Here is a 21,771-nt window from a genome sequence, read left to right as displayed (position 1 = left end):
TGTGTTTTATCACTATAAAAAATTGGGGGGAAAGGGAGAATGAAAGGAGAAGAGAGAAAATAAAAAGAGACTGGAAAATACAGAGACAGACCAAGAGTGAAGGAGAGACAGAGATAGAAGAAGAAAAGAGCAGAACAGGCACACAGAGATGGGGAGAGTAAAGGGGAACTGAGGGGAGGAGAGGGTGAGAGGTAGAAGCAGAGAGAGAGATGAAGAGAGGATGTGGGGAGAAAGAAAGTGACAAGCACCAAGAGAGACTGAGAAAGAGTGACAGAGAGAGAGAAAAAAAGAGAAAAGAGAGGAAGGAAGAAAAGCAGAAAAGGAGGGAAGGAGGAAGGGAAGAAAGAAGAAAGGAAGGGAGGGAGAGAGGGAGGGAGGCAGGTAGGGAAAAGAAAGGGAGGGAGAGAGGGAGGGAAGAAAGAAGGAAGGGAGGGAAGAAAGAAGGAAGGAAGGGAGGGAGGAAGAAAGAAGGAAAGGAGGGAGGAAGGGAAGAAAGAAGGAAGGGAGGGGAGACAGAAGAAAGGCAGAAAGGGAGGAAGGGAGGGAAGAAAGGAAGGGAGGAAGGGAGAAAAGAAAGAAGGAAGAGAGGAAAGAAAGAAGGAAGGGGGGAAGGGAGGAGAGAAAGAAGGAAGGAGGGAGGGAGGGAAGAAAGAAGAAAGGAGGGAGGGAGGGAAGAAAGAAGGAAGGAGGGAGGGAGGGAAGAAAGAAGGAAGGAGGGAGGGAGGGAAGAAAGAAGGAAGGAGGGAGGGAGGGAAGAAAGAAGGAAGGAGGAAGGGAGGAGAGAAAGAAGGAAGGAGGAAGGGAGGAGAGAAAGAAGGAAGGAGGGAGGGAGGAGAGAAAGAAGGAAGTTGGAAAAAGACAAGAGGTGGAGGGAGGCTGCTCTGGGGCAGGGAGGGGCACGTACTACTGAACGAGGATCTTCACCAGGTTGATGTGGCCGCAGGTGGCTGCAGCATGGAGAGGTGTCCACAGCTCGTTGTCCTTGGCGTTCACATTGGCACCATGGGAGAGGAGCAGCTTCACAATTTCCTCAAAGTTGTCGATGCAGCACTGGGAGAGACACACAGGCAGAGTCAGCTCCAGGCAGGGCACTGGGCCCCGGGCCCTGGTCAGGACACACCAGGTTCCCCGCAAGAGGCCATGAGGAAGACTGTGGAAGGCCTGTTTGAATCCAGCTCCATGATGTTCACACTGTAAGCATTGCCCTTGACCTTGAGCAAGCCACTTAACCTCTCTGGGCCTCAGTCTCCTTGTGAGTAAAAATGAAGTTAATAATATGTAAGATAAAAATATACAGGTAAAAAACACTCTGTCAGCTATAAAGTGCTTTGCAAGTATCAGTGAAATGGGACAAAATTTTGAATGAGGTTTTAAAACGTATTTTTTAATCCCAAAAGGCTTTCTCCAAAGAAAATTATATGGAGAACTCTCACTTAGATGACCAGTAAATTCAAACAGGATTGGTTGGGTTGAGGCAGGGGTGTGTGTGTTGGGAGGGTGTCCCCTTTCCTGGCAGTGGCCTCCAAAGCGGTTTCAAGATCATAGCTTGAAACCTCTGACTTAGGAACCTCTGACCAGGTAGCTCAGATCTTGGGGAAGCCTTCAGGTAACCAAGACTCCCCCTGAAATAATCCAGCTCAACGTGAGCATTCTAGGGGTCCTGATAGTCCCTGCGAGGAGACAGCCATGTTTGTGTTCCTGCCTACATGCTGCAGTGATGGCACGTGGGGCAGCCCCAGTAAGGGGGAAGGGCCAGCAGCCTGCAGCCTCCTAGAGAGAACGCAGGCTCCAACACAGGTGGCCCCCAGGCTCCAGGGACAGGGAGGAAAAGATCCCAAGGAGACAGAGGAGCGTCAAGCTAGGCACCAGGATGGGAAAGGCCGGGAGAGAGGAGAAAGACAGGGAGCCACTTTACAGACTGCGGGATGAAACTCTTCCCTAGAGGTGACCTCTGCGAAAGCCAGCAGGGGACACAGCAGGGCTCACAGGCTCAGCCCTGCCCACCCAGATAAGGGCTTGGGGCTTGGTCATCAGTGCAATGGGAGACATTGAGTTACACTACGAAGGGGAGCATGATCAGAATTGCTTTTAAAAACAACTGCTCCTCTGATTACACGTGGAGAACAGATGGTGTGTGTGCGCGTGCACGCCCACGTACATGTGTGCACGTTGGGAGGGGACAGTGAGGAGCTGTGTTGAAGCCACCCAGTTAAGAGATGATGGTGGCCTGGCCTCCAGAAACGACCACAGGGATAGAGAGAAGAGTCCAGACGCCAACAGAAGGAGCAGGAGCGGCCGTGGAAGCCCACGGCCCCAGGTGGCTGTGGGCGTGGGTGTAGGCGTGGGATGGGGCGGCACCACAGCCCCACCCCTATCCCCAGGGAAGCCAGGGCTCAGCGCCAGGACATGTGGGAAAGGAGCAGCCGTTTGCACAGATGGCGCCAGAGACCCAGGTTCTTTCTGCGCCAGCCGGTCTTTGCGGGGCGGGGGTGCGGGGGTGCGGGGGGGACGGTGGCTAGGTCTGAGGACATTCTCTCCGGACAGGCAGGGAAAGGTGTGACCCTGTAAGCGAGTGGGTGCTGCTTCAGACGGGCGGGAGAACCACGCAGCAGCACGGCGCGGCCGGCAGAGGGCGCCAAAGGCAACGAAGCGAGGCTGCGGTGGAAGGTGAGCATCTCCAGGCCTTCACTGGGAGATGCCGCTGAGGAGCCCCTGGGGTCAGGGGCAAGAGGGCCAGAAATCCAACCCCTAGAGACCGCAGGAAACATAGGGGGTGGAGTGGAAGCCTCTGGTTGAAGGGCGAGGGGACTGTGTGCCCAGATGGCAGAGTCTTGTGAGATAGATGTCCAGGGGCTGGACCAGTCTACACCTGGGAGACCCGGCCTGAATAAGGGCTGCGTTGGGGGCTGGGTGCAGGGGCGCACATGGAGTGGGTGGTAGCTGGTGGAGTGGGCGGGCCTCCTCCTCTGCTGCGGCCGAGGTGGGAAATGGCACCTGGCAGTCAGCCGCCTCCTCCCGCCTCCTCCCGCCTCCTCCCACTTCCTCCCTTCCCAGCTTCAATCTATCACCAGGTATGAATTGCACATCTCCTAAATCGCTGTCCCCACCCTCTGCCCTGGATGAAGTTTCATCATCTTTCCCTACCTCCCCGTCATTCCCCTTCCTAACACCCTCGACCAGAGAGAGCTTCTTCATTAATCTAATCATGTTGCTCTCCGTTTACAAACCTCTGAGGGCTCCCTGTTGCCAAGAGAAGAAAATCCACACTCCTTTGCCAGGCATGGGAAGCTCTTCTTAATGTGCCCCCATCTCCTTTGTTGCACTGGAGCTACAGTGACAATAGCAGTGATAACAATAGCAACAGCCCCGGCAGCAACAGTAATAGCATGTCACATCACATTGTCAATAACAATGTCTAATGCTTTCTGAGGACTTACAAGAGTCAAGCAGCTTGCTAAGCTTTGGCCATGCATTGCCTCATTTAATCTTCAAAACAAGCCTATGAGGATTGCTCTTTTTACAGACGGGGAAATGGCCCCTTTTATAGATGGGGAAACTGGCTCAAGGAAGCCTGGTGGTACAAGGTCACATGGAGTAAGATGAATTGAAATCCAAGCAGTCTGACTCCAAAGGCCCTGTTCTCAACCCTCTCAGTCTCACCACCTGCACCTCTCCCTGAGGCTCCCTGCTCTCTAACTGTGCCACATGGAACCCTCCAGACTCCAAACTTGAAATGCTGAGCCCCTTTCTCAAGGCTTTGCACATGCTATTCCCTCGGCTTTGAATGTTCTGCCTTATTCTTTTCTAGCTAGCAAGCTCCTACTCATCCTTCAAGACCCAGCTCAGATATCCCTTCCTCTTAGAAGTCTTTCTCAGTTCCCCTTTGAGTCGAGTCATCGGTTCCCAGTTTTAAGCTGCCACTGAGCCCCTGCCTATCTCCGTGCAAGGGCTGACCACACTGCATTACCTCTATTATTATTTATGTGCCTGTGGCCACAGCACACTCTGAACTCTGAGAGCAGGGACTCTGCCTAACTTACTTCTGGGGCCCTGTTCCCAGAAGACAGCTGGCATGGAGTGGGTACACAATAGGTATTTGTTGAAAAAATAAATGGAAGCTCACAGGCTAATGAGGGTGGATGTCTCCCTGAAAGGCCCCAACATGGGGCCCAAGGCACGTGTGGTGGTTGGGGTGAGGTGCGGGTTTCAGCTGGTCAGCCAGGAGCTTCATGCAGCTAAACTCGGAGCCTGGCGAGTTCCCGCCTCCCTGACCACGCATCCCCAGGGGCCCAGGAACCCACAGGAGAAACTGGTCCTGAGAAAGCAATGTGACCAACAAGGAAGAAGTTGAGGCACTATGTGAGGTGGCGGGAACCCCAAGCTAAAAAAAGGGTGCCACTTGAGAGTTCATTGCAAGCAGGGATGGCAACTCAACAGGGGACCTGGGGCTCAGAGAATTGCAGCTGTGGTGCCCACAGAGCAGTTAAGACTGCCTTGTTTCAAATCCTGACTTAAACACTCAATCACTGCTTGACCTTGGACAAAGAGATTTCACCTCCCCAAGTTGCACGGTATAATAAGACAGCCACTGTTTCTTTAAATCCAGTAAAATTAAATAAACTTCAAAATCCATTTCCTCAGTCACATCAGCCACATTTCGAGTGCTGTGGATCCGCGTGTGGCTGGTGGCTATTGTACTGTGCACTGCAGAAACACAGAACATTTCCATCATTGTAGAAAGTTCTATTGAATAGGCTGCCTCAGTTTCCTGAGCCATAAAACAGGGATGATAATATTTCTTTTTTTTTTTTTTGAGACAGAGTCTCACTCTGTCACCCAGGCTGGAGGGTAGTGGCATGATCTCAGCTCACTACAACCTCTGTCTCCCGGGTTCAAGCAAATCTCCCTACCTCAGCCTCCCTAGTAGCTGGGATTAGAGACACTCACCACCAAATTCCAGCTAATTTTTGTATTTTTAGTAAAGACAGGGTTTTGCCATGTTGGCCAGGCTGGTCTTGAACTCCTGACTTCAGGTGATCCACCTGCCTTGGCCTCCCAAAGAGCCGGGATTACAGGCGTGAGCCACCACGCCTGGCCTGGGGATGATAATATTTCTGAAGTTTGTTGTAAGGATAAAAATGAAATATATAACTGAAGTAATTTGCAGGGAAGTGGTCACATGATACATTTTAATAACTTTTAATAAATAATAATAATATTTATCCAGTATCGAGTGCTGCTTAAAGTTTTACATGTGTTCATTTAATCCTCACAACCACCCAATGAGATGGGTACTTGTTATTCCTCTTTTAGAGATGAGGAAACTGAGGCACAGAGAGCTTAAGTAACTTCCCCACAGTCACATAGCTAGTGGGTGACAGCTCCGGGCCACAAGCCTGACTGTCAGTCCTGACATCCTCACCTTTCTGGCACGCAGTAGGAGGTAGCCCACACATTTGATCCTCATGCCCATGGCTGGTGGGTGCAGCCCAGCCTTGGGAATTGGCATTTGGGTCTCCATTTCAGGGCAAGCTATAGCAGCCACCCGCTCTCTGCTCCCTAGTGGAGTCCCAGGCCCTCTAGGGTTCATGGAGCTGGGAGTCTGGGAGTTTCCAATGGCAGATGGAGTGGGGGTACTGAGGCAGCTGCCTGAGAGATGCCTGAGGCCCTGTGAGAGAGAAGCCAAGAGGACACACAGGGACCTGCCCCTGGGGCTTACGGGCAGGGCGTGGCCATTCTCTGTGCATCCCACCCCTGCCCTTGTACCGAGGTGGAGAGGCCCTCACCAGCCCAGGGTTCTGGTTGCCTGGCCTCTCACTCAAGTCCATCTGCTTAGAAACTCGGGCACAGGGAGGCTTTGGTGTGTTCATGCATTAATTCAACATGCACATATTGAGCACCTACTGTATGCCAGCATGGGGAAAGATGCTAGGACACACTCATAAGCAAGAGGTATGTGCTGTGCCCTCAGGCAGCTCAGCGTCTGAGTAGGGGAGAAGTCAACATCAAGTGATGACATCAATGGCTAAAATGACTAATTACGAAGGAAGAGGGCCTTCAGAAGACAAAGGGTATGTCTATCACAGCACAGCTCCCAGGCTCTTGCTGTGGACAGCAGCTAATGGGTGAAAGCACCAAGTGCTGTGGGAAGTGTGGTGGGGAGGAGCCCACTGGGTACAAGGACCTGAGAAGTTGGGTGGCTGGAGCCCAGAGAGCCAGGAGGCTTAGAAGATTGGTCATGAGCCCAGCCTCGTGCAGCCTTGTGCACTGTGGCAGAGTTTGTTCTTTATCCCCAGATTATGGGAAGACACCAGAGAACTTTGAGTAACAGGAAGAGATTTTTGGCTTAAGCATCCCCATGGCTGCTGCGTGGACAGAGAATTATGGCAGAGCCAGACTGAATGCTGGGGACCAGTTACGAGGCTGTAGCAGCATCCACGTGAAAGGTGACAGCCAGAGAAGCCATCCCCAGCAGGGAGGGCTGGACCCATCACTCTGCCTTGGAAAGGACATGTCATGATAGCACATGGCTCAAGACCATAAATCAAGACCATGTGACCTCAGGCAGGTCACATAAGTCCCGCCAACTGCCTCTGTCGCCAGGGTGGATGGGATGTCCTGATAAGTGTGAATGTGCTTCGTACACTGTCAAGCTCCAAACACACTTGCTTTCATGGGCAGGAGGGATGCAGTGAACAAAGGCTCCCTGTCCTTAGAGCCTGCATGTGCAGTCGCGTCTGCGGGCGCACACAGGGCTCTGTGGGATGGCAGTAACAGACACGCGTATCTCCAAAGTAGACAAGAGCCTTTCAGATGGGCCAGCTGCAGCTCCTCCTCCCTCCCTCATTCCCTCCTCCCTGAGGGTTCTGAGCAGGAAAGTGCCGAGAAACAGGGTACCTGTCCAGGTGAGGGGCAGGGAGCCCTGGAGCCCCAACGAGCCCGGCCTTACCTGGTGTAGGGCTGTGAGTCCGTCCTCATTGCACAAATCAGGGCTGACCTTATTCTTCAGGAAGTAGCGTACTGCAATAGGAGGGTACAGGAGTGAGCTTCCCGTTGCACACTGGGTGTGCAGGCATGCAGGGGCCCGGGTAAGACCCGCTCTCCCCCAGGCCTATGAAGAATGTAGTAACAACTCCCCATTTTACAGATGAGACAACTGACGCCCAGAATTTCCAAGAGGTAGATGCCACTGCCTATCTTATTATGGATAACAATAACAAGAACTAACAATTATTTAGCACTTCCCGGATGCCAGGCACTGAGCTAAGCAAGTTATATTTGTTGTCCAGAGGATGCACATTCTAGTCATTGAAAGCATACACTCTGGAGGTTCAAATTTGGGCACCATTCTCATTGGCTGTGCAACCTTGGTCAAGACACTTCCTTCTCTGTGCCTCAGTTTTCTCATCTGCAAAATGGGGATGATGTTCATCCTCCTCACAGTAGCAGTGTGAGTGGTCATCGAGGTGAGCCATGCCAGGGGCTCAGCACAGTGGCCAGCATGTGGTTTGAAGGTGAACTCCTGCTCTGGCAGATGTGATGATTTTTACTAAAACTGTGGGTCCCCACAGCAGGTGATGGCTCACCTATGGGTGTCAAATGCCCCTTCTTTGGCCCTACTGAGCCCTGGGGAAGGAGGGTAGCAGAGGTTTTAACCATCCCCAATCCCTAGAATTTTGTCTAGGGGTGTGTGTGTGTGTGTGTGTGTGTGTGTGTGTGTGTGTGTGTGTGTGTGTGTTCAGGGATTCTGGGTGGGCAGGGAGGCCAGAGTGAACAGCATTGACAGCCTGGAATCCCTCTTGCTTAGGATAAGCCCCCTCCCCTTATCACTGTGACCCTCCTCCCTCCTCCTCTGCCCACCACCATTCAAGCCCCAATTCTCCCCTGAACCCACGTGCAAAGGGAGAGAAGAGAGGAGCTCACCCACCAGCCCTGCAGGCCCCTTCCCAGGCTTGGCAACTGGGACCCCAGCTCTGGCTTTGGCAGGGTGATCTCAGGCCCTCCAGCTTTGCCTCTCCCCGTGGATGAGGAGTCCAGGGGGCCAGTGGGACGAGTCCACCCAAGCCCCTGGCTCCCCTTCCAGGCCACACCTCTACTGTCCCTGTCCAAATGACTCCGAGCCTGCTTGCAGGGCCTCAATAGGATCTTCCCTGGATCCAGCTTCCCAAAGGTAGACTGTGCAGTTACTGGGCAAGCGGACCTCTAGGCCAGAGTGGTGAACAGAGGGTGGCTGTTTGTGGGGCAAGTGGACGAACTTGAATACACAAGCTGGCTTGTGTGGGTGGCCCTCGTGCCATCGTGCTGATGAAGCCAGGCGTGCAGGCCCAGGCACTGCAGACAGGATACATAGGCTGGCCCTGAGCCCTCTGAGCCTCCTCCCACCCCCAGCCAAGTCTAGCTCCCTGTGAAACAGAAGCCAAAGTCCACATCCCCTAATCCCCACCGTGGACACTATCTCCACGCTACGGTTCATGCCATAGGGCAGGGCTGAGGTGGTTTCCTCGTTGATTTCTGCTGTGGGGAAACAAATTAGAAGTGAGCTGGGCAGGGTGAAGAGAAGACTATCCCTTCTGCAGGACAAAAAAACCCAGTCAGCAACTCCAGGGGGTGCCAGGGGAAAAAGAAGCTGGTAGGCAAGGGAGGAGTCCTCAAGGGCTCAGGAGCAGTGGATGGGGTGGGGGTACAGCCCCTCAGCTCCATCCTCATGAGGCCCAGCTCCCAAACCACAGTCCCAGTTGCACCCTAGGCCTCAGTGTGAACCGAGGCCCTGCGTGAAGGGGAGGTTGAGGTCACCACCCAGTAAGAGGTGGCATCTCCAGTAGACCTGCCCAGTATGCATAGCCAGTATGGGTTAAGCATGACAGGACTTTGTCCAGTACGGTCAGATCCTTTGGCGCTGTCCTGACCAACATGGTGCCACTAGCTACATCTGGCTATTACGGCTGCTTAAACGAATTAACATTCAAAATTTAGTTTCTCAGGCATGCTGTGCTCAGTTTCAAGTGGTTGGTGGCTACCATATTGGAAAGTGTAGAAATAGACCATTTTCATCTTCTTGGAAAGTTCTATTGGACGGTGCTGCTTTGGGGCATTATAAATGAAAATTAGCTCTGTCACAAATTGTTAAAATCCTTCCATGGCTCCCCATTGCTCTGGGAATAAAGTCCACAACTCTTCCTATGGCATACAAGTTCTTGCGTGATGTGAGCCCTGTCTGCAGGTCTCTAGCTTGCACAATTCTAGGTGGCACCATCCACATCATGGTTTATAAGACTGGCATCTTCTGGAGCTGTCCAGTACACAACTTGCTCAGCTGTGCACAATCATCCTACCTGCTAACCTCACCACTCTCATTTCTTAAACTCCAAACACTTTCCACAATAGTCTTTTGTCAGTTACAGAGTCACATCACTTCTTGTGGCCTCTGAGATTTTGCATAGTCTGTTCCCATTGCCTGGGAGACTCAATCATTCATCCATCCATCCACCAGCATCCATTCATCCATCCAACCACCATCATCCATGCATCTGCCTCTAACACTAACACACACACACACACACACCTTTGCCCCACTCCTCGTCCTTTAGGTCTCAGCTTAAACTCCCCAGGCTCCTGTTATATATACCCATAGCTCCTATACATCTCATTTACAGCCTTGTCACAACTACAATTATATAACTAATTATGGGCTTTGAGTGTATCTGCCCATTGGACACTAAGCCCCACAAGGGCAGAACCATGACCTGGTACTTATGGCTCTATCCCTAAAGCCTGGTACACAGTGAGTCCTCAAGAACTCCTCTAGGACCTTGACCCAATTGGCAGCCCTCTAGTTCAGTCCAAGGACAAAGCCTCTCCATCACTGAGCAAAGCAGATCACCCTCAAGGGCTGACTCCAGAAGACTCATGTCTGTAGCAGGCAGTCCTCTGCTCGCAGGCATCTCCTACAGACCCAGTGCCTGGTGTTAGCCTCAGGACCATGTAGGAGATTATGGCAAAGCCACTGATCACCAAGGCCCAACCTGCCCACGGGTGAGTGGGGGTGCCCTGAGCATTACAGATGGCTTTTGGGAGAGGAGCAGTGGCCACTATATCCCTGACTAGGATGGGTTTCTGGATGGTTCTGCTCACATTAGCTAGGGGTTCAAATCCCATGGGGTGGGTAGCAGAATAAGCTTCCTGTCCAGGAGATACTCCTGGAGGCAGAAAATAAGCATCAGCTGCCAAAAGCAGTGTTTGTGCACAGTAATTATTGGGGTGTTCTCCATGCGGTGGAGGAATCCAAGTCATGTAATTACCCTGATGTTGGGCAGTTATTTTCAGCCCAAGAGGTGGGACAAATGATTCCCATCTCTAGGAAGCCCTTAGTACTCATGAGCCAAGGCTGCCTCAGCAGTGCTACTTCCAATGTACCTAGGAGCCCAAGGCCTGGCTCTGCACCTACTCACAGGAGCAAAGTCCTCGGCGCCCAGTGCACAACCGGGCTCCCTGCCTCTAGAGTTCAGTAAGAAAATTATTATTATATTAATAATGTTTTCTGGCCAGGCACGGTGGCTCATGCCTGTAATTCCAGCACTTTGGGATGCCAAGGCATGTGGATCACTTGGGGTCAGGAGTTCAAGACCAGCCTGGCCAACATGGCGAAACCCTGTCTCTACTAAAAATACAAAAATCAGCTGGGCGTGGTGGCGCACGCCTGTAATCCTAGCTACTCAGGAGGCTGAGGCAGGAGAATCACTTGAATTTAGGAGGCAGAGGTTGCAGTGAGCCGAGACTGCACCATTGCACTCCAGCCTGGGCGACGGAGCAAGACTCTGTCTCAAAAAATATATATAAATAAATAAAAATAATGTTTTCTTACTAAGCCTTTTATTTGCACCTCGGTCAATTCAGAACCACTTTATTTTATGAGTTCACACCTATAATTATTCCTCTTATGCAGAAGAAGAGACAGAGGGCCAGGAAGATGTAGCTTAGTCACATGTGGCCAAATTAAGGAGCAGGGATTTGGCACCGGGCCTCTCTGATTTCAAAGCCCAGGCTGGTGGCCAGTGGACCATTCTACTCTGCCCTAAGGCCAGGAATAGGAACAGCATTTCTGGATTTCTGCCACGTCGAGACCTGTGCTGACAGCTGATTTGGGGACGAGGGTAATGGGAAATGGACAGCAGTGACCTTTGCTTCTGGAACTCTCTATGTATCAGACGCCCTGCAATCCCAGGCCAAGCCTCTACTTGAAGATAGAAGAGTTCAAGGATGCACAAATGGGACAGAAGAAATGGTGTTGCCCTGCTGAGGGATTAGCTCTTTCAGGGCCATTTAAAATGTAAACCTGGCTCCCTGACTCCCTGCTTAAAACCTTCTCGTGGCTCCATTCTGCTCTTTTCTTCTTCTTCTTCTTTTATTATTATTATTTTTTTAATATAGGGATGGGGGTCTCACTATGTTGACCAGGCTGGTCTCAAACTCTTGGCCTCAAGCAATCCTCCCATCTCAGCCTCTCAAAGTGCTGGGATTTAAGGCATGAGTCACCACGCCCAGTCTTCTTCTTCTTCTTTTTTTTTTTTTTTTTTTTTTTGAGACAGAGTTTAGCTCTGTTGCCCAGGCTGTAGTGCAGTGGTGCGATCTCGGCTCTTCTGCCTCAGCCTCCCAAGTACCTGGGACTACAGTCATGTGCCACCATGCTCAGCTAATTTTTTGTATTTTTAGTAGAGACGGGGTTTCACCATGTTAGCCAGGATGGTCTTAATCTCCTGACCTCGTGATCTGCCTGCCTCAGCCCCCCAAAATCCTGGGATTACAGGTGTGAGCCGCTGTGCCTGTCCGCCGCCTTCTTTTTTTAAGAGACAGGGCCTCACTATGTTGCCCAGGCTGGACTCAAACTCTTGCACTCAAGCAATCCTCCCACCTCAGCCTTCTGAGTAGTTGAGACTCCAGGCGCACGCACAACCACGTCCAGCCCCAACAGTGCCCTTGGGATGAAGTTCAAAATCCTTCCATGACCTTCATTGGGACTGACAAACTATGGCCTGTGAGCCAAATCTGGCAGGCAGCCTGTTTCTGCAAATAAAGTTTTATTGGAACACATCCACACTCATTCATTTACATATCACCTATGACTGCTTTCACCCTCCAACAGCAGAATTGAGTAGGTACAACAGAGACTGTATGGCTCACGTGGCCTACGATATTTACTATCTGGCCCTTTGCAGAAAAGGTTTGCAGACCCCTGGTCTTCAAAGTCCTGTATGGTGTGGTTCCGCCTACAGAGCTACTGCCTTGCATAATTCCAAGGCAATATGCAAATACGCTTGCATAACAGTACCTTGCACTGTTCTCATCATAGTCTGTGTGAATACAGTGCCCTGGAATTACGCAGTGTGCAGCCTGCTCAGCCACGCCAGGGGTCCTGTCTCCCTACCTCTCCCGGCTCATCTCTTGCTCTCTGGAGCACCTGGAGCAATGGAGGAAGCTGGCTTGGGTCTAAGGTGTTGCCTGGAGCTCAGGGAGCACAAAGACGAGAAAGGCACGCTTATTCCCTTCGGCCAGGAGTGTCCACACCTTCTCTCAGTTGCCCACACTCAGGGCAGCTTCTTGCCCACAAAGCCCCAAGTCCCAGGCTCTGCCATCAGTTTGTCAGAGTGACCCATTTATTCTCATGCATTTGCTTAGCTGCGGCTCTAGGCAAGTTATTCCCCTTCTCTGCTTCCATGTCCTCATCTGCAAAATGGGGATCACAACAGTGCTCCCTCATGGCATTGCTGTGGGGTTAAGGAAGACAAGGCCCTGGCTACTGTTAGCATTTATTTTAAAAATAAAAACAAAAATCAACCAGTGAGCTCTTGCTTGTGTGCCACCCTGTGCTGGATGCTGGGAATACAACCATCAACATCTTGCACCTCTCAAGAGCTTTAGAGCTGGTGGTAAAAGACAGAGGCAGTCTCCCTCCAGGGAGCTCTGAGCATATGCTGGTTCACAGACCACTGTAAGGCCACAGTCGGTGCCCCGCCACCCCCTACACAGGCAGGGCCCTACTGAGATGGCAAAGAGGTGGCTCCCGCCCTCCTCACTCACGTATCCCTGCTCCTGGCGCCGACCCCGCTGCTCCGCCTACACCTCCCTGGCAATCTGGCTGGAATCTGGGCCAAACAGGGCCATCTGGTCCTCTCCATCTCCAGCTGTAGCAAGTGAGGCTGAGCCGGCCCATCTCGGCAGGAAGCTGGTGGCGGCTGCCTTTGCAGGGAGACATCACCGCTGACAAGCTTGTGTTTTCTTTGGCATCTGACCCACTCCGTCTCACAGAGCATCTTCCTGACCTCGAGATGGTTAGCAACATGCGACCATAGGCGTGGCTCCTGCTCCTCCTCTGGGGAAACGGAGACAGCCAGGCAGAGGTGTCTGCCCAGTGGAGGTGGACCTTGGGCAAGCTGCATCTCCCCGGGGGGTGCCCTGGGGCTGAGCTGCTGCCACCTCGCCATGTGACTTGCAGGGTCAGGTTCACTCACAAGGCCTGCCCTCCTATCTCTCTTCCTTCCTTTCCTGCCCAGTGCCCAGCAATGAGGCCTCATCCTCCCACTGCCTCCAAGGCATTGCATGATCTAGTCCCTGCCTGCTCCACACCTGCCTTACCTGGAAATCCCTCCCTGAATCCCTCACTGGTTCAGCCACACTGGCCTCTCATTTCCTAAAACAAAACAAAACAAAAACCGAGCTCTGATCCTCCAGGCCTTTGCACACACTGTTTCCTATGCCCGGAGCCTTCTTTCTTCCCATTCTTGGGCTGGCAAACTCTTCTTCATCCTTTAGGTTTTAGCCAAAATGTCACCTCCTCTGGGAGGCCTTCCCTGATTGCCCTAATCTCCATTGAGCTTCCCCATCTATTCTCTCCACACTACCCTGCATTTCTGCTTTTGTCCTTTACAGCAGCACTTACTTTGTTACCCATGGAGCTACTTGTTCCTGAGGGCATGAAACTATTTGTCAGTGTAGTCCCACAGACATGGGGCACAACAGGAGTATGACTCAGGAATAAAAAGCAATGATTGTGACTTTTGTACAAAATCGAGTGAGGCCAGATGTAGTGGCTCACACCCGTAATCCCAATGCTTTGGGAGGCTGAGGCCGTAGGATCACTTAAGGCCAGGAGTTCGAGGCTGCAGTGAGCTGTGATTGTATCACTGCACTCCAGCCTGGATGACAGAGCAGGATGCTGTCTCTTAAAACAAGAACAAGAACAACAACAACAACAACAAACTTAAAAAAAAATGAGTGAGCAGACACCCTTCCTTGAGCCTCCCTCATCAACACCACCTGACCTGGAGGCTGACCACAGCAGTCCTTCAGCCCCACCCAACACTGTCCCCCTCTGCAGGCTGGATACAGGGGACTCAACATGTCCCTCTGTCCAGGATCCCACTCCTCATTCTCTCTGCCCTGTGCCCTTGCTCTTTCTACAGCCCAGCACTAACTGTGTGCCAGGCATTGTGTTAAGCCCTTCATATCCATCAAGTCAATTAGTCCTCATAATCCAGTTACGAGGATAAGTAACCTGCTGTTATTAAATAGCTCCCTGCGATTATTGCTCCAGTTTACAGATGGGAAAACTGAGGCTCAGATTTGCATACATGAAATGATTTGCCCAAAGACACCTGGCTGGGAATGGTAGAGCTGGGATTTTCACCCAGGCCCAGCCAGCTCCGAAGAGTGAACCCTTAACCACTTTGCTAAAATGGTACCAAACAAGGACCCAGGGAAGGAAGCATATACAGCGGAGAGAAGAACAGGATGGACACAGATGTTATCATGAAGAGAGCCCACAGGGATGGCAAAAAGCTAAGAGAAAGGTCAAGAACATTGCCAATAAAGGTCAGTGTTCCAGAACATCATGTGATAGAGAAGACAGTTGCCAACAGGCATTGCTGCAGCCTTTGTGGTTACTATATTTGCAAATGAAGTCACTGAGGCACAGAAGTGAACACTGAGCCTGAGGTCCAGCGCCACCTCTGTCGGTCTCCCTGCTGCATCTCCATTGTAGGTAGACCCCAGCCTGCCCCTGCTTCCAAGCACCCTGGTGGCCTGCCTGATGTCGCCACATCCCGCCCACTGGGTTGCACCTCCTGCATGAACAGCCCAGTCCGCACTGACTTATTTCCCCCTCTTCAAGGTGCTGTCAGGACTGCTGTGTGCCCAGCCCTCTGCTCTGATAACGCCAAAGGGCCAGCACTCTCAGAGCAGCCCCTCTGCTCTCCTCCCAAGTCAAAGCTGTCCTGTGCCCCCAAGGCACTGCGCTTCCAAAAATCACCCCACTGAGCAATTGAAACCTTTCCACCCACCACTGCTCCTCCCTGGAGCAGAAATAGCCAGAAATAGCTGCTCCCAGGGAAGCCCGGCTGCCTGGAGCTGAGGGTGGAGACTCAGTCAAGTTGCATGGTGGTTTCTGCAGTGGCTGGTGCAGCCCGCCCCTCTGCCAGGCAGCTCCCCCGGGATCCTGGGTGATGACTCACCCTGGTGGACCAGAAAGACACGGGCTTCCCTCAAAGTCACATCCCCAGGACCAAGCCTCAGGTCCCAGGAGCCAGCCCCTTGCTCTTCCCCAGATAGAAAGTATCACTCTTGGCCCATTCAAGAAGAGGAGGGGTTGGACAACCGTGTGAAGACGCGTGGAAATCAGAGCCCTCGGGCCCTGCTGGTGGGAACGTAAGATGGCACAGCACTGTGGAAAACAGACTGACAGGTCCTTAAAAAGTTAAACAGCATTACCATCTGACCCAGCAATTCTACTCCTAGGTATATATTTAAGAGGAATGAACATATATGTCCACACAGAACTTTGCATATGAATGTTTTTATAGCATTAGTCGCGATATCTCTAAAGTAATACCCAAATTTCCATCAACTAATGAATAGATAAACAAAATTCCATACAATGGAATAGTATTTTTTTCTTTTTGAGACAAGGTCCCTCTCTCACCCAGGCTGGAGTACAGTGGTGTGATCAAGCTCACTGCAGCCTCAACCTCCAGGGCTCAAGCAATCCTCCCACCTCAGCCTCCTAAGTAGCTGGGAGTACAGGTGCGCACCACCATGCCCAGCTAATTTTTTTTGTATTTTTGTAGAGATGGCATTTTGCCATGTTGTCCAGGCTGGTCTCGAACTCCTCAGCTCAAGTGATCCTCCTGCCTCAGCCTCCCAAAGGGCTGGGATTACAAGCGTGAGCCACCACACCCAGCCCTGCCTGTCTTTCTCTGTCTTCACTTCACCTGGTTAATTCTTACTTAGATTCCAAGTCCCAGCTTCAATGTCATTTATTCTGCAAAGCCTCTTGCAGGTCTCCCAGGCTGGGCCAGGCACCCTTCTCATATGACTGCTGTGCCTCCCAAACTCCAAAAAGACTTAACACTATTTTATAGTTATGTATGGATTTGTCTGTGTCTTTACGACACTAAAGTTCTGGAGGGATAGGGTGAGTAGGACCATCTTTTGGCTACCGTGCTGCTCCTGTGATGTAGTTCAGGCCCCCAGTCAATTTCTGATGACCGCAGAAGTGAATGGAGCTTACCTGGCCTCTACCCAAGCCTCAGAACCAGCCAGAACATCTGTTCTTGAGCTACTCTATGCTTCTTCCTTTGGACAAGAGCATTCCCAGGCTGGGCCACAGACTTTTCCTTGTCAGAGAGAATCTTCACCCTTTGGCTTGAACAAAGAGGCCAGTTCCTCTCCTAGCATCTCTGACACCCTTAGCACCACCAGGACAAGATGGCCAAGGGGACCCCAGACACGTAGCTATAAACCTGCTCCCTTCTAGAACCTCTGTGCCCAGGACATATGTCTCTGCTAGACAGAAGGGGTTGACAGAGATTCACATCAGCTACCCAGATGCCTCTGCACATGTAACTTACATCTGGCATTGGGTGTATGCAGGAAAAGTGACAGCACACCCTTTAGGATATAAGCTCTATGCGGGCAACTCGTGTCTGTCTTCTTATGTGGGGCATGCAGCTCCTAGAGAAAGCACTCAACAAATATTTGTTGACTGAATGAACAAATTAAAAATATTTTTTTAAATTCTAAGAATAAAAAACTAAAGATACCCAGAAAACTGATGTACAAAGTAGGCCTGCAGTTAATCTTTTTCAATATGTATAGTCTTTCTGACACATGGAGGTTGGGGTGAGGTGGGGAATCACTTCCTAATGTGTGAGGGGACATTTGTGTATTCGATTTCCTCAAAGGGAGGGAGAACTGCATTTAACTCAGCTACCGTGAAGATGATATGGGCCTGTAAGATTTCTCCACCAAAGCTGCAAAGACTGTGTGCCTTGGACCCTTCCCTCTCTCTTCTTCTCCCTTCCTTCCCCTTCTCTTACCCCTCACTGTACTTAATCTCAGAGACTGAAGGCAAGGGTCCCCCTTATCCAGAAACACGAACTTGGAACTTCCTCATTCTATTCATAAATACATCAGACCCCCGCTGCACCAGGCCCCTGTTCTTTACTGATTCTACCTCCAGAATTCTCCCAGCACCTCTCCTTACAGCTTCACTGCAGACCTAGGGACCTGATCTCCCTTCCGCTCCGCAGAGCCTGGCCCGCCTAAACACGCACTGGCCGTCCGGGAGCTCTCCAAGGTATCTGCTCTTATCCCAATTCCCCTCTCCCCAGATGCCCTGAATGCCTCTTTCTGACTCGCTCTTGCTCTCTAAAACCCATCTCTCACCTCACTTCTCCTTCCAGCTATCAATCCTGAATTTTTAAAAATAGTCCATTTACTTTATATCTCCAGGCAAGTAATAGATAAAAATATTTCCAGCCCTGCAGGTAGGAGATACATGCATATAAACACTGTAATAGCTTCACAGCCATCATAATAGCATCTAACATTCATTGACTATTTTCCAAGTATAAGGCACTGTACCAGGATGTTACATGTATTATCCCAGATCCCTGGGATGCCTCAATCCCCACAACAACCACATGACTTAGGTGCTATTATTAGACCATTTGACAGATAACTTATATGATTTTCCCAAGATTATTTAGCTAGTAAGCACTGAGACTCAAATTCTAGTCTGGTTGATTCCATACATAACTGGTATTTCAGGCATGACTAATTACAAGGGACCCTCACTCAAATATAGCCAAGAATAAAATCCATTCCTATCAATGTTTAGGAAAAGGCAACAAGCTGTGTATGAAGGGGGAAGTTCCTTCAGCTCACACCTGTCCACTCTGAAGCTTCCCTCTGATTTCCCTGGTCCTGTTCTGCTGTCCCAAAACTACCTCCCCTGTCTCTGCCTTGGCTTTCAATTTTGGTCTTTCCTAAAGATGCTACTCTGCCTCAGCCCTGTATTACATAGGACATGAACAAGTGTCTGCCTGGGGAAATAAAACAAGATTTCTGAAAATTTTAAAGGTAACCACATAAGAAATTGAAGTCACTACTTGTATCTTCCATATTATCGATGGAAAAGATAAATGCAAATCAACACAGTATTCATTAAAGTCACAAAATGAAAGAAATAATAAAAGAAATAAATGCCACAAATCACGAAGCAAGATGACCGACATCCAAACATGTACCAGATGAGTAAATTGAATCATTTATCCTTCCCATAAAGCAGCAATGATTTGGTTGCCAAAAAAAAAAAAAAAAAAAAAAAAAAACAACTGTGTGCTGCTTACAAGAGATATATTCCAAACAAAATAACGGAGACTAAAATTAAAGGAATGTTCAAATATAAAACAGGCAAACACAAACACAAAGAAAGTGGAGGTGGCAGCATTACTATTATGAAGAATGGAATTCTGAGCAAATAAGGAGGTAATCAACTTTAGGCTGATCAAAAATGAGATACTTCAAAATGAAATTATAAACAGAAAGCAGATCAGTGGTCGCCTGGGGCTAGCGGTGCAGGAGGGGAGAATGAAGTCATTATCAGTGAGGAAACCTTATGAACTGCATAATCAGCAAAGTCAAATTCAGTAAAGCAAAAATGGTTAGTATAGGCTGGGTGTGGTGACTCACACCTGTAATCCCAGCACTTTGGGAGCCCGAGGCGGATGGATCACCTGACGTCAGGATTTCGAGATCAGCCTGGCCAACATGGTGAAACCCCATCTCTACTAAAAATACAAAAAAAATTAGCCGGGCGTGGTGGTGGGTGCCTGTAATCCCAGCTACTCAGGAGGCTGAGGTGGAGAATTGCTTGAACCTGGGAGGTGGAGGTTGCAGTGGGCCGAGGTCGCACCATTGCACTCCAGCGTGGGCAACAAGAGCGAGACTCCAACTCAAAAAAAAAAAAAAGTTAGTATATAAGTCAGAAGCACAGTTTTCCTAGGAATTTTCAGCACACATTCTCCCTAAAGAAAAGATCAGAGGGCAGACAAAGATTTACGAACAAGGATGTTCACAGCAGCATTGTTTATATGCATATTGTTTATAAGTGAGAAATCCTGGAAGCAACCCAAATGCCTAAACAATTGGAGGTTGATTTGGTAAATTATGAAACATCCATATAATGGAATATTCTGCAGCTGGTATCTTTGAGGAATTTCTAATGACATGGGAAAATGCTTGATATATAACATAGAATGGAAAAACAAAGAGTCAAAACTTTACATTCAATGGAATCTCAACTGGAAAGGAAAAAAATGCTTTCCATACATCCACACACTTTTCATTGGAAAAAAAATACAGTAGCTATGATTTATCAGGGATTTTTATTTTGTGTTTGCCAGTATTTCCCAAGCATTTTAAAATCCATATGTACTACCTTTATAATCAGAACTTCTCAATTTCACTAAAAAACAAAAACCTTCCGCAGAATGATAGCCAAGTGGTAAGAACTCTATTTCTGCTCAAAGTAGCTAGTGCAGAAACAAAGTCTCAACCTGGCTGACCCCATGAAGGAAGTGCTAAAGCTGGGATTCCTGTATTGAGTAGGAAGTTAAATAGCAACAATAATACAAACCATTTTGTTTGGAGAGTGCAGGGGTTGGCACACTGTGGTCTACAAACCAAATCTGGCTTAATTTTATACTGCTTGCAAGCTGAGAATGGCTTCTATTTTTTTTTTAATGGTTGAAAAAAATCAAAGAAGAGTAATATTTGGCAATACATGAACATTACATGAAAGTGGCATATCAGTGTCCAAAAACTAATTGGAACACACGCTCCCTTGTTATGCATTGCCTATGGCTGTTTTGAGGCTCCAGCAGCACAGCTGAGGAGTTAGACAGAGACCATATGGCCACACAGCCGAAAATATTTCTTATCTAGCCCTTTGCAGAAAAACTTTGCTGATCCTCAGGGTAATGCTTTTCAGCTAACAAAATATGTTCAATGGCTGAGAGTGGTGGCTCATGCTTGTAATCCAAGCACTTTGGGAGGCCAAGGCGGGCAGATCACCTGAGGTCAGGAGTTCGAGACCAGCCTGGCCAACATGGTGAAACCTGTCTCTACCAAAAATACAAAAATTTAGCTGGGCATGGTGGTAGGCACCTGTAATCCCAGCTACTTGGGAGGCTGAAGCAGGAGAATCGCCCGAACCCGGGAGGCGGAGTTGCAGTGAGTTAAGATCCCACCATTGCACTCCAGCCTGGGCAACAAGAGCGAAACTCCATCTCAAAAAAAAAAAAAAAAAAAAGTTCAAAACCACAGTCTCATTTCACCCTCACAATAAAAGTCTCCTGGTCCCTGGTAGGAGAGGAAGAAACAAATATAAGTCCAAGGTGAACCCTGGGATCGTGGCCAGGAAGGGAACAGACAGATCGGGCCCAGTTCCTTCACCTGTCAAGAAGTGAAAGGTGCACGAACCTCCCCCGAGAGCCTGCTGTTGCTTCTGGCTGTCCCCACTGTCTCTACCCCCGGCCCCAACTCAGCCACCTCTCCCCTCTGAAAGCAGCCACATTTCCTGTCAAGAGCGTGACCTTCTGAAACCTGCATGGTGGAGGCTGCAGCTGCAAAAAGGATGGTATTTTTATCCAGACCCTGCTTCCTGTTTGCTTCGCTGGGGGGTTTTGTTTGCGGGTGTTTGATTTTGTCATTTCTGATACAGACTCGGTTCCCATGTCAAAACAAAACAGAGAAGTCTGGCTCCTGCAAGGTATGCTGACTGCCTTGCAGCCCCACCTGCCTGGGGGGCCCTGTCCTGCTACTCTCCCTGCATGCTGCACAATCTCCTGTGACTTCCAGATACCCATCTTCTGCCCGTGCAGCAGCAGAAACCAGGGCAGCTGGGTGGGCAGAGAGGAAACAGGAGCATTTCTGCTGCAGGAAATGGAAAAATCCACTCTCTTATCAGACAGGAACAGCTAGAGAGTAGCTGGCTGGGCCCGGAGGGGAGCAAGCTGCAAGTTTTCCAGGGCTTCTGGAACCCTCTGTTCCTGGCTCAGAGAGGACCAGGACAGGATGTAGGTAGAGTGATGTATGGGACTTGGGAGCCATTTGCTGAAAATGTCCTGAGCTCTCGGACCTGCAGGATGGATCATTTGCTGATGCTCCCAGCAATAGACAAAAATGCCATGGTCTTCAACCCTCGTATCCTCACAGCTCAGCCAGATGTGGGAACAGACAGCAGATGCATATCAGCATCTAACAAGCCTGCGATAAGAAGAGCTCATGTTTACTGAGCACTTGCTGTTGCCCAGCCCTGAGTCTAGCATGTGTAGGAAATGATCTCATTTAATGCTTACAACAGCCCAAGGCAAATGTGAGGCAGGCTCTAATGAGCTCCTATTTTACAGTTGGGGATACTGAGGCACAGTGAGTTTA

At 49.9% G+C, this 21,771-nt stretch overlaps 1 protein-coding gene across 4 annotated transcripts in view, besides 3 other annotated features; it reads right to left on the bottom strand.

Moving 5' to 3' along the window:
* Window positions 1–21,771, bottom strand: part of PPP1R16B (protein phosphatase 1 regulatory subunit 16B) — a 117,328-nt gene that overhangs the window by 26,410 nt on the left and 69,147 nt on the right. For 2 of the 4 annotated variants that reach the window (NM_015568.4, NM_001172735.3), the window contains exons 3-4: window positions 6,950–7,020; window positions 905–1,050 (exon numbers count right to left, since the gene is read on the bottom strand). In NM_015568.4, coding sequence (NP_056383.1) covers window positions 905–1,050; window positions 6,950–7,020 — 217 coding nt within the window. Of the gene's footprint in view, window positions 1–904; window positions 1,051–6,949; window positions 7,021–13,074; window positions 14,124–21,771 lie in introns of those variants that run through there. The other 2 variants (XM_011528768.4, XM_047440086.1) reach the window with 2 other exon arrangements.
* Window positions 2,491–3,449: an enhancer, noted in NCBI's record as "H3K4me1 hESC enhancer chr20:37521809-37522767 (GRCh37/hg19 assembly coordinates)". NCBI's record gives its function as "activates a minimal SCP1, AML or CMV promoter by ChIP-STARR-seq in primed H9 embryonic stem cells {active_cell/tissue: H9 hESC(primed)}" and the evidence as "EXISTENCE:reporter gene assay evidence [ECO:0000049][PMID:30033119]".
* Window positions 3,813–4,013: a silencer, noted in NCBI's record as "peak4213 fragment used in MPRA reporter construct". NCBI's record gives its function as "represses an SCP1 promoter by STARR-seq MPRAs in K562 erythroleukemia cells {active_cell/tissue: K562}" and the evidence as "EXISTENCE:reporter gene assay evidence [ECO:0000049][PMID:32103011]".
* Window positions 9,517–10,017: an enhancer, noted in NCBI's record as "H3K27ac hESC enhancer chr20:37515241-37515741 (GRCh37/hg19 assembly coordinates)". NCBI's record gives its function as "activates a minimal SCP1, AML or CMV promoter by ChIP-STARR-seq in primed H9 embryonic stem cells {active_cell/tissue: H9 hESC(primed)}" and the evidence as "EXISTENCE:reporter gene assay evidence [ECO:0000049][PMID:30033119]".

The sequence above is a fragment of the Homo sapiens genome, chromosome 20, assembly GCF_000001405.40.
Source record: "Homo sapiens chromosome 20, GRCh38.p14 Primary Assembly".
NCBI lineage: Eukaryota > Metazoa > Chordata > Mammalia > Primates > Hominidae > Homo > Homo sapiens.
The sequence above is the reverse complement of the archived record's forward strand: the minus strand, read 5'-3'. Positions and strand labels throughout refer to the sequence as shown.